This window comes from Homo sapiens, chromosome 8 (genome assembly GCF_000001405.40).
Source record: "Homo sapiens chromosome 8, GRCh38.p14 Primary Assembly".
NCBI classification, from domain to species: Eukaryota; Metazoa; Chordata; class Mammalia; order Primates; family Hominidae; genus Homo; species Homo sapiens.
The window spans coordinates 7585787-7598253 of NC_000008.11; the positions used below are offsets into that span (position 1 = coordinate 7585787).

Below are 12467 nucleotides of genomic sequence, written 5' to 3' on the forward strand. Positions count from 1 at the left end.
TTGCCCCAGCCCCCTTGACCCAACTTGGAGCTCAGAAAACCTGTGTTGTATAAAATCGAGGTTTAAGGGATCTAGGGCTGTGCAGGACGTGCTTTGTTAACCAAATGTTTGCGAGCAGTATACTTGGTAAAAGTCATTGCCATTCTCTAGTTTCAATAAACCAGGGGCACTATGCACCGTCGAAAGCCGCAGCGACCTCTGCCCTTGAAAGCAGGTTATTGTCCAAGGTTTCTCCCCATGTAACAGTCTGAAATATGGCCTCGTGGGATGTTAAAGACCTGACTGGCCCCCAGCCTGAGACCCGTAAAGGGTCTGTGCCGAGGTGGATTAGTCAAAGAGGAAAGCCTCTTGCAATTTAGATGGAGGACAGCCGCTGTCTCCCGCAGCCCCTCTTGCTTCCCTGGCTCTTAGGACCCCCATCGCAGGGTGTGAGGCACTCCCCCCATTTCGGGTTGTAAGAGCCAAACCCTCTTGCCCCCCTGGCTCTTAGTTTCCCCCATCGCAGCGGGGTGAGTCACGTCCTGCTATGCTTGGGGTAAGAGCCAGCCCCTCTTGCCCCCCTGGCTCTCAGGACCCCCATCGCAGTGGTGTGAGGCACGCCCCTTGATGCGGGTATTAAGAGCCTTCCCATCTTACCTCCTGGCTCTTAGGACCCCCATCGCAGGGGGTGAGGCACGCCCCGCCATGCGGAGAGTAAGAGCTAACCCCTCTTGCCCCCCTGGTTTTTAGGATCCGCGGTGGACTCACAGCCTGTTTATCATATTGTGAGTAATATCGTCTCCCGCTCTGGAGATTGTGAACTGTTTCACCCACCGGTGTTCACCCCGGCGTACAGAGGTTGTACACCCGTCTGTATTGGGAGTCATATCATCCTCTTCCTCTCTGAATATTAAGAACAGTATCACAGGGGTGTTTCTACTCCCTGGGATATCGCGTGTCATATCATCCTCTCCCACGTTGCAATTAGAAACAATATCAGTGGGGGCGTGTCCACCTTCTGTGATACTGAAAGTAATATCATCCTCTTCCCTCCAGGATCGTGGGAACAATATCCTTGGGGGTGTCCACTTTCTGCCATATGTGTAGTCATATCACCCCCTCCGCCTTGGAATATTATTAAGAACCATGTCACACGGGGGTGTACACTTCCTACGATGTTGGGAGTAATAGCATTCTCTTCTTCCATGAATGTTAGGAACAAAATCACCGGGTGGATGCACACCCAGTGCTATATTGGGAGTAATGTTATACTCCACCCCCTGGAGATTATATTCGGATCAATATCACCGGCTGGGTGTGCACCTGCTGCGATATTGTACGTAATATCATGCTCTCTCACTCCCTGAACATTAGGAACAATATCACAGGTGGGTGTACACCCACTGAGGTATTAGGGCATACTATTAGTATGAATTATTCCTTGTTTTTTATTAACATGAATATGAATGGCCGATATTAATATTAATATTAAGAAGTAATTGCTAATAAAAAGTTCTCAGATTATTAATATTAATATTAATTATTAGGAGCTAATATTACTATTTTCTAATGAATAAGATCCGTATCAGTTATTAATATCAGGCGTCATAATCATTAATATTAATCATGTATTGTTATTGTTAGTATAACTATTTAATATTAATTATCATTAGTATCGGTATTGATTTTAAAAATTATATTATGGGTTATTAATATTGATAATTATTAGTGTCAGTTAATAATTGAGATTATTAATTGCGGTAAGTCGCATTGCGCCATTCCACCCCTTCCTCGGCAGCTCGTTTACGACCCAAAACGGGGACACAAATGCCCCTGAGAGAGCAGCGGTATACTGGGATAGATGAAAATGCTCATGTAGTGGAGAGACGTGTTTTTGGGTACCAGCCCTTCACCTGCGTCGACCTTCTCAACTGGAAAAACAATACATCGCCCTATACCGAAAAGCCACAAGCCCTAATTGATTTGCTCCAAACTGTTATCCAGACCCACAACCACACCTGGACCGATTGGCACCAGTTGCTCATTTTCCTCTTTAACAGTGAAGAAAGGCAGAGAGTCCTCCAAGCAGCAACTAAGTGGCTAGAGGAACATGCACCAGCTGATTATCAAAACCCCCAATAGTATGGAAGGACCCAGTTGCCAGGAACCGACCCCCAGTTGGACCCACATGAAAGAGAGGAGATGCAAAGGCTAAACCGAGACAGGGAAGCTCTCTTGGAAGGATTAATGAGGGGAGCTCAGAAGGCCACAAACGTTAACAAGCTCTCTGAGGTCATTCAGGGAAAAGAAGAAAGTCCAGCACAATTCTACGAGAGACTGTATGAGGCCTATCATATGTATACTCCCTTTGATCCCGATAGCCCTGAAAATCAGCGCATGATTCACATGGCTTTAGTCCATCAAAGTGCAGAAGACATGAGAAGAAAACTGCAGAAACAGACTGGGCTTGCAGGGAAGAATCCATCCCAATTACTAGAAATAGCTAGCCAGGTGTTTGTAAACAGGTATGCAGTAAGCCGTAAGGAAAACGGCAAAGAGGATGGAGGTCAGTCCCGGCCACACGCCGACCTGTTTGTCAGCTGCAGCAATCAGAGGGGCCCCCGCAAAGAGGCAAGGGAAAGGGGGCCCTGGGAAAGAAACTCAGCTTGGCTGTCAGAGTTTGCAGCGTAACCAGTGTGCTGATTGTAAAGAAATAGGACAGTGGAAGAACAAATGCCCTCAGCTCAAAAGAAAAGAAGGTGACTCAGAGCCGGAGGCCCCGGACAAGGAGGAAGGGGCCCTGCTCAACCTGGCAGAAGGGTTCTTGGACTGAGGGAGACCGGGCTCAAGCATCCCCATTCTGACATCTGTTCAGAATGACAGTCAGGGGTGGAGACATTAACTTTCTTGTAGATAGCGGTGCTGAACATTCGCTAGTAACCGCCCCGGTCGTCCCCTTACCGAAAAAGACTACTGACGTCATCGGAGCCACGGGGGTTTCAGCAAAGCAAGCTTTCTGCTTGCCTTGGACTTGTCCTGTAGGAGGACATAAAGTCATTCATCAGTTTTGTTACATGCCTGACAGTCTCTTGAACTTTTCAGGAAGGGACTTGCTCAGCAAGCTGAGAGCCACTGCCTCTTTCACAGAGCATGGCTCTTTGCTGCTAAAGTTACCCGGAATGGGAGTCATTATGACGCTTATGGTCCCCCGAGAGGAGGAATGGAGACTTTTCTGAACTGACCCGGGCAAAGAGAAAAGACCAGCTCTGGCTAAGCGCTGGCCAAGAGTTCGGGCAGAAGAGAACCCTCCAGGATTGGCCAGTTAAGACTGGGGCCCAGCCGGTGAGGCAAAAACCGGACTCGGTCCCCAGAGAAGCCCTTCAAGGTATCCAGGTCCATCTCAAGCACCTAAGAACGTTTGGAATGATTGTTCCTTGTCAGTCTCCATGGAACACTCCCCTCCTGCCTGTTCCCAAGCCACGGACCAAGGACTACCGGCCGGTACAGGATTTGCGCTTGCTTCATCAAGCCACACTGACTTTACATCCAACAGTACCTAACCCGTCCACATTGTTGGGGTTGCCGCCAGCTGAGGACAGCTGGTTCACCTGCTTGGACCTAAAAGACGCTTTCCTTCCTATCAGATTAGCCCCTGAGAGGCAGAAGCTGTTTGCCTTTCAGTGGGAAGATCCGGAGTCAGGTGTCACTACTTAGTACACTTGGACCGGGCTTCCCCAAAGGTTCAAGAACTCCCCCACCATCTTCGGGGAGGCATGGGCTCGAGACCTCCAGAAGTTTCCTAGCAGAGACCTAGGATGCTTGTTGCTCCAGTAGGTTGATGACCTTCTGCTGGGACACCCCACGGCAGTCGGGTGTGCCAAGGGAACAGATGCCCTACACCGCACCTGGAGGACTGTGGGTAGAAGGTGTCCAAGAAAAAAGCTCAGATCTGCCGACAGCAGGTACGTTACTTGGGATTTACTATCCGACAGGGGTCGGAACGCAGCCCGGGATCAGAAAGAAAGCAGGTCATTTGCCATCTAGCGGAGCCTAAGAGCAGAAGGCAGGTAAGAGAATTCTTAGGAGCTGTGGGGTTTTGTAGACTGTGGATCCCAAACTTTGCAGTATTAGCCAAGTTTTTGTATGAGGTCACAAGGGGGGCGGGGACGGTGAATCTTTGGAATGCGGATCCCAACAACAGCAAGTATTTCATGAGTTAAAGGAAAAACTTCTGGCAGCACCAGCCCTGAGGCTACCCGATCTGACAAAGCCTTTTCCATTGTATGCATCAGAGAGAGAAAGGATGGCAGCTGGACTTTGAACCCAAACTGTGGGGCCCTGGCTGAGGCTGGTGGCCTACCTCTGTAAACCACTAGACGGGGTTTCTAAAGGATGGCCCCCCTGTTGGAGGGCCTTGGCAGCAACTGCCCTGCTAGTATAAGAAGCAAATAAGCTGACTCTTGGGCGAAACCTGAACATAAAGGCCTCCCGTGCTGTGGTGATGAATACTAAAGGACGTCATTGGCTAACGAATGCCAGGCTCACCAAGTACCAAACTTTGGTCTGTGAAAATCCCCGTATAACCATTGAAGTTTGTAACACCCTACACCCCGCCACCTTGCTGCCGGTATCAGGGAGCCCTGTCGAGCCTGATTGTGTAGAAGTGTTGGACTCAATTGACTCTAGCAGACCTGAGCTCCGGGACCAGACTTGGGCATCAGTAGACTGGGAACCACACGTGGATGGGAGCAGCTTCTTCAACCCCCAAGGAGAGAGAGGTGCAGGGTATGCAGTGATAACTCTGGACACTGTTGTTGAAACCAGGTCGTTGCCCCAGGCCACTTCAGCCCAGAAAGCTGAACTCAATGCTTTCATTTGGGCCTTAGAACTCAGTGAGGGTGAGACTGTCAACACTTACACTGATTCTCGGTATGTCTTTTTAACCCTTCAAGTGCATGGAGTGTGATAGAAAGAAAAGGGCCTATTGAATTCTGGGGGGAAAGACAGAAAATATCCACAAGAAATCTTGCAATGATTAGAAGCAGTATGGAAACCCCACAAGGTGGCAGTTAGGCATTGCAGAGGACACCAGCGAGCTTCCACCTTGCTGTGTTTGGGGAATTCCCGCGCTGAGTCAGAGGCTCGAAAAGCAGCAACTGCCCCCTTCTGGGCATCAGTGCTCCCTCAAGCACCTGATCTTGGACCTGCTTCTTCTAAAGAAGAAAGGACTTTCTCCAGGTAGAGGGAAGGACAAGTGATGGAGGAAGGATGGATTCAGTTACCAGATAGGAGAGTAGCTGTGCCACAGCTGCTAGGAGCTGCAGTTGTACTGGCTGTGCAAGAAAACACCCATCGAGGTCAGGAGTCACTGGAAAAGTTGTTAGGCCGGTATTTCTACATCTCGCCTTTGTCAACCCTTGCCAAAACGGTGAGGCAGCGGTGTGTTACCTGCTGACAGCATGATGGGAGTCAAGGTCCAGCCGTTCCGCCCGGCATACGAGCTTGTGGAGCAGCCCCCTTTGAAGGTCTCCAGGTGGACTTCACAGAGATGCCAAAGTGTGGAGGTAACAAGCATGTACTGGTTCTTGGGCGTACCTACCCTGGGTGGGTGGAGGCCTATCCAACACGAACTGAGAAAGCTGGTGAAGTAACCCCTGTGCTTCTTCGAGATGTGATTCCTAGATTTCGACCGCCCTTATGGATCGGCTCAGACAACGGGCCTGCGTTTTTGGCTGCCTTGGTACAGAAAACGGCAAAGGTATTGGGGATCACACGGAAACTACATGCCGCCTCCCGGCCTCAGAGTTCCGGAAAGGTGGAGAGGATGAATCGGACTATCAAAAATAGTACTACTGTCTTCCCCGCTGGATATTTAAAACAACAGCACAAGGGGCGTCAAACCACCTGCTAAATTGGAGGCAATGTTATCCTCTCCCCTCCTCCCCCGGCCCCGGATATTAGAGACAACAACACAGGGGTGATGTACACCCACTGCTTTATTGTGAGTAATATCATCCTCTCCCTTCTTGGATAGTAGGAACAGTATCACACTGTGCGTGTAGGCCTGTCGCGAAATTCAATGGAATGTCATCCTGCGCCTCCCTGGATATGACGAACAATATCACGGGGGATGTACAACTTCTGAGATATTGGGAGTGATGTCATCCTCTCCCCTCTGGAAGTTAGGGACAATATCACAGGGGTAGTGTACACCCTCTGGGATGTTGGGACTAATATCTCACAGATGTCTGAGAATTCCTCCTCCTGGGACTCTCAGAGGATCCAGAACTGCAGCCGGTCCTCGCTTTGCTGTCCCTGTCCCTGTCCATGTATCTGGTCACGGTGCTGAGGAACCTGCTCAGCATCCTGGCTGTCAGCTCTGACTCCCCCCTCCACACCCCCATGTACTTCTTCCTCTCCAACCTGTGCTGGCCTGACATCGGTTTCACCTCGGCCATGGTTCCCAAGATGATTGTGGACACGCAGTCGCATAGCAGAGTCATCTCTCATGCGGGCTGCCTGACACAGATGTCTTTCCTGCTCCTTGTTGCATGTATAGAAGGCATGCTCCTGACTGTGATGGCCTATGACTGCTTTGTAGCCATCTGTCGCCCTCTGCACTACTCAATCATCGTGAATCCTCACCTCTGTGTCTTCTTCGTTTTGGTGTCCTTTTTCCTTAGCCTGTTGGATTCCCAGCTGCACAGTTGGATTGTGTTACAATTAACCATCATCAAGAATGTGGAAATCTCTAATTTGGTCTGTGACCCCTCTCAACTTCTCAAACTTGCCTGTTCTGACAGCGTCATCAATAACATATTCATATATTTCGATAGTACTATGTTTGGTTTTCTTCCCATTTCAGGGATCTTTTTGTCTTACTATAAAATTGTCCCCTCCATTCTAAGGATTTCATCGTCAGATGGGAAGTATAAAGCCTTCTCCACCTGTGGCTGTCATCTAGCAGTTGTTTGCTGGTTTTATGGAACAGGCATTGGCTTGTACCTGACTTCAGCTGGGTCACCACCCCCCAGGAATGGTGTGGTGGCTTCAGTGATGTACGCTGTGGTCACCCCATGCTGAACCTTTTCATCTGCAGCCTGAGAAACAGGGACATACAAAGTGCCCTGCGGAGGCTGCGCAGCAGAGCAGTCGAATATCATGATCTGTTCCATCCTTTTTCTTGTGTGGGTGAGAAAGGGCAACCACATTAAATCTCTACATCTGCAAATCCTGCCCCTCAGTCACATTCTTTTTGTGGCTTGATGGCTTTTATTCCTTTCCGCATTTCCTTTGTGAATATTGCTTTCTTCGTTATGCCTTTATCTGGAATGAGTGACGATTCTGGGATCCTTGGTTTAGCAGAAACCTCATGACAGAATCTTCTATACCTAGGTGGCCTCTTTTAGTCTCTGAGCAATAACCATGCCATCCAGGTGGAATCACAACCATCATTTTATATACACGAAGTCCTCACTTCGTTTTGGAATTCCCTGAAAACTGACTTTATGGAAACAATGTACAGAAGGTCCTCCAACAGCATTGGTTGTTCAAAGTCGTGTAGTTATACTGTTGATGAAAAATAAGTGGTTTCACTATACATAATTTTGCTTCAAGGTGAAGTTTCCAAGAGACTTTCAAAGATGTTAAGTGAGGACATACTGTACATCAAATTCATATCCTCTTCCACAGTTCATGTGGAATTTCTTTATAAACTTCTTCTAGAGAATCTATTTAGGCAGGTTCTGTGTAGATATCCATGTCGCCGTTCCTCAATCTTGGCTTTGAGTCAAATCACCTGGGCAGCTTACACATGATGAGGACTGGTTCTCAATACCTGAGATTCTGATTTCCTTGCACCTGTGTGAGTGTGTGGATTTTTTTTTTTCTTTTAAAGCACCAGAGGTGGTTCCAATGACGAAGTTTTTAGAGGCATCAAGCTGCAATGAGTAAGAACAGAAATTAATTGTAATATGATTTCTTCAAATATTATCTTCAAATGCATTGTCCATCAACACCATACGAATGTTTATTATGCTGTTTTTTCTTACCATTTCGCATTTTCTATTTCCTTCTTGTCCTTTTTTTTTTTTTTTTTTTTTTTTTTTTTGAGTCAGAGTTTCACTCTTGTTGCCCAGGCTGGAGTTCAATGGCACGGTCTCGGCTCACTGCAACCTCTGCCTCCCGTATTCAAGCAATTCTCCTGTCTCAGCCTTCCAAGTAGCTGGGATTACAGGCATGCGCTACCATGCCTGGCTATCTTTTTGTTGTTGTTGTTGTTGTTGTATTGTTAGTAGAGACAATGTTTCTCCATTTTGGTCAGGCTGGTCTTGAACTCCCGACCTCAGGTGATCCGGCCGCTTCCGCCTCCCAAAGTACTGGGATTACACGCATGAGGGACCGCGCCCAGCCACCACTTAGCATTTACATTTTGCAATTGTTGAAGTTATCGATTTATACACACATCAATTGCTGCTTTGTTATACACTTGCAGATACATAAGATGGGAAATAGAAAAGAATAAAATGGGCACGGTATCCCTGAAGTTTCACATTCTGAGACTTTAAAAATATTTGCTCTTTAGAAATTTGTTTCAATAAAGAAACTGTGGTATACACACCCAATGAAGTATTATTCAGCCTAAAGAGGAAGAAAATCCTCTCCGCTGCAGACAAAATGGATGAGATTGCAGGTCTGTATATTAAATGAAATAAGCCAGGCACAGAATGTCAAATATTTCATGTCCTCACTTCTACGTAGGAAGAAAAAAGGAAACCTTGACCAGGCGTGGTGGCTCAGACCTGTAATCCCAGCACTCTGGGATGCCGAGTCGCAGGGATCACTTGAGTCCAGGGGTTCGAGACCCGCTTGGCCAACATGGTGAAACCCCGTCTCTACGGAAAAAACAAGCAATTAGCCGGGCGTGGTGACGCGTGCCTCTAGTCTCAGCTACTCGGAGGGCTGAGGCCCAAGAAGCGCTTGAACTCGGGAGGCGGAGCTTTCAGTGAGCCCGGATTGTGCCTGTGTACTCCAACCTGGGCAACATAAAGAGACTCCATCACACACCTACACACAAAAGGAATCTCAGGAAGGTGGAAAGTATAAAGGTGGTTAGCAGACGCTAGGAAGAAAAGGGGTGGGATGGGGAATGAAGACAAGTGGATAATTGGGTCCCAAAATACAGAAAGATGGAATAAGTGAGTTCTAGTGTTTGATTGTACAGTATGAAAATTTTAGTTCACAAGAATTTCTTGAATATTTCCAGATGCTTTGGTAAGAAACTTCCTAATTTTCTCATTATGCTGGTTTTTCAGCTCTTCTCTTTCTGCTCTTGAAATCATGCTGGTTTTTTGTTTTTTGTTTTTTGTTTTGAGATGGAGTTTTGCTCTTGTTGCCCAGGCTGGAGTGTCATGGTGCAATCTTGGCTCACCGCAACCTCTGCCTCCTGGGTTCAAGCGATTCTCCTGTCTCCACCTCCCGAGTAGCTGGGATTACAGGCACGCGCCTGTAGTAGAGACGGGGGTTTCTCCCTGTCGGTCAGGCTGGTCTTCAACTCCTGACATCAGGTGATCCGCCCACCTCGGCCTCCCAAAGTGCTGGGATTACAGGCGTGAGCGACGGGCCCGGCCCATGCTGTAACATTATCTGTTGTCTGCTGTTGTTTGTTTATTTTGGAGCCCAGAAATAACTTGTCACCTGTATGTTCAAACGATTTTTAACATGAGTGGTAAGAAAGCTCATTGGTGGAAAAACAGCCTTTTCAAGAAATGGTGTTGGAGAAACTTGATTTCCACATGCAGAAGAATGAAGGTGGACACTATGTCACACCAGGGGCAAAAATTAACACAAACTGGATCAAAGACCTCACCCCAAGCGCTAAAAGAATCATTCGCCTAAAGGAAAACATTGGCCATGCTTTCATGACATCAGATTGGGCAATGTTCTCTGGGATATGACACCAAAAGCATAGGCAACAAAAGAAAATTAGATTCCTTGGATTACATCGAAATGACAGACACTTTTGTGCAGCAAAATCACGGCAAACTGAGTGAAAAGATAACCCATGGATTAGGAAAAATATTTTCAAAGCATATATCTGAAAAGAGGCTGATATCCATCATACATAAAGAACAGGCAGAACTAAAGAACAAGAAACCCAAAGCATCCCATCAATAATGGTCAGAAGACTCAAGTAGACGTGTTCCTAAAGAAGATATAGCAATGGCCAATAAGCATCTAAAATGATGTTCAAAATCACTCATCATAGGGAAGCGCAAATCAAACCAAGAATGTGACACCACACATTAGGATGGATATGATAAACAAACAGGATTGGTGAGACTAGAGGGAAGTAGGAATGCTCGAATCTGATCAGAAGGAATGTAAAACCGTGAAGGAACGGGGAAAATAGTATGGCGTCTACTGGAAAAATTAGAAACAGGATGATCATATGTTGCCGCAGTTGCATTTGTGGGTACCTACAAAAAGAAGCCAGGAGTGGAAGACAGATTTGTGTACACCCATATTCATAGCAGCATTATTCACAAGAGCCAAAATGTGGAAGCAACCCAAGGGTTCGTGGACAGATGAATGAAAAAGCCCACTGCAGTTCCTTCATACAATGGAAGACTATTCAGCCTTCAAAAGGCAGGCACTTCTGGCCGGTGCGGTGGCTCACGCCTGTAATCGCAGCGTCTTGGAAGACCGAGGTGGGCGGATCATCTGAGGTCAGGAATTCAAGACCAGCCTGGCCATCTTGGGGAAACCCTGTCCCTACTGAAAATGCAAAAAATGAGATGAGCATGGAGGCGTGTGCCTATAGTCCCAGCTACTCGGGAGGATGTGGCACAAGAATCACTGGAACCCGGGAAGCGGAGGTGAGCCCAGATTGTGCCACTGTACTCCAGCCTGTGCGACAGAGTGAGACTCTATGGAAACACAAAACAAAACAAAGTCAAACGAACAAACAAAAAACAACAAAAAAAAAACAGACAGGCACTTCTGAGGCAGGCCGCAACATGGATGAACCTTGAAGACATTATCGTCAGTGAAATAAATAAATCCCAAAAGGATAAACAGGCCCAGGCTCAGTGGCTCGCACCTGTAACACCAGCACTTTGGGAGGCTGAGCCAGGCGGATCACTTCAGGTCAGGAGTTCGAGACCAGCCTGGCCAATATGGTGAAAGCTCGTCTCTATTAAAAATACAAAAATTAGCAGGGTGTGGTGGCGCACGCCTGTAATCCCAGCCTCTCGGGAGACTGAGACACAAGAATCGCTTGAACCCACGATGTGGAGGTTGCAGTGAGCCGAGATCACACCACTGCACTCCAGACTGGGTGAGAGAGAAAGACTCTGTCTCCAAAACAAAAAAAAAAACACGGTATGATTCCACTTATCTATCAAGTGTCTAGAGTAGTTAAACTCATAGAGTTGCAAACTAGAAAGGTGGCCCCCAGGGGTGGGCGAGAGAAAGGAATGGAGAGCTTGGTGAATGGGTGGAATTTCCATTTTGAAAGATAAAACTGTTCCTGAGATGATGGCGGTGATGCTTGCTAAATAATGTTAACGTACTTAATGTCATTAATCTGTAAACTGAAAAAGAGTGGAAATTGTAAATGTTTATACTGGCCATTCTATATGAACTAATATATATTTATAATTTTTAATATTTATACGTGGTATATTTTCCCATTATAAAAGATGAAAATTAAAGCAGTTGGATGTTTAAAAAGAAAAGAAAGAAGCGAAGAATACACACCAGCTTTCTTCTGATTAGAGGAAGAGCCCCAAAGTTTCTATGGACACTCACTTTTCTCTTCTTCTTGCATTATTATGAGGACATCCTTAGAGGCTGGGGAACTTGGGCGGCTTTGGCTAATGAGGAGCTCTGTGCCTGAGCCCCCCAGGCCACAGGATAGTAAATACTCAGTCTGTGCCTCCAGCCCTGCAGTGTGAGGTTGCAGTCCTGTGGGCTCCACAGCCGTCACCTGTATCAGGAGGCTCATGTCTCACCCTGTCTTCTTGCCAGCCTTGAGGACGGAGCCTGAGCCTCCATGGTGCACCACGCAGGGAGGACAGTGGACCTGTTCTCCGTGGTCATGTCCCAGCAGAGGGGAGAGGCAGTTCAGTGAGTGTAGGGAAAAGAAAGAGAGATCAGACTCTTACTGTGTCTATGCAGAAAGGAAAGACATAAGAGACTCCATTTTGAGAAAGACCTGTACTTTCAACAATTGCTTTGCTGAGATGTTGTTAATCTGTAGCTTTGCCCCAGCCACTTTGACCCAACCTGAAGCTCACAAAAACATGTGTTGTATGAAATCAAGGTTTAAGGGATCTAGGGTTATGCAGGACTTGCCTTGTTAACAAGATGTTTCCAAGCAGTATACTTTGTAAAAGTCATCGCCATTCTCTAGTATCAATAAACCAGGGGCACAATACACTGTGGAAAGCCGCAGGGAGCCCTGCCCTTGAAAGCAGGGTATTGTC

The 12467-nt window shown here is 47.1% G+C and overlaps 1 pseudogene, besides 2 other annotated features; it reads left to right on the forward strand.

Annotated features, from left to right (window-relative positions):
• Positions 60-560: an enhancer, noted in NCBI's record as "H3K4me1 hESC enhancer chr8:7443368-7443868 (GRCh37/hg19 assembly coordinates)". NCBI's record gives its function as "activates a minimal SCP1, AML or CMV promoter by ChIP-STARR-seq in naive and primed H9 embryonic stem cells {active_cell/tissue: H9 hESC(naive and primed)}" and the evidence as "EXISTENCE:reporter gene assay evidence [ECO:0000049][PMID:30033119]".
• Positions 561-1061: an enhancer, noted in NCBI's record as "H3K4me1 hESC enhancer chr8:7443869-7444369 (GRCh37/hg19 assembly coordinates)". NCBI's record gives its function as "activates a minimal SCP1, AML or CMV promoter by ChIP-STARR-seq in primed H9 embryonic stem cells {active_cell/tissue: H9 hESC(primed)}" and the evidence as "EXISTENCE:reporter gene assay evidence [ECO:0000049][PMID:30033119]".
• Positions 6202-7170, forward strand: OR7E157P (olfactory receptor family 7 subfamily E member 157 pseudogene; annotated as a pseudogene).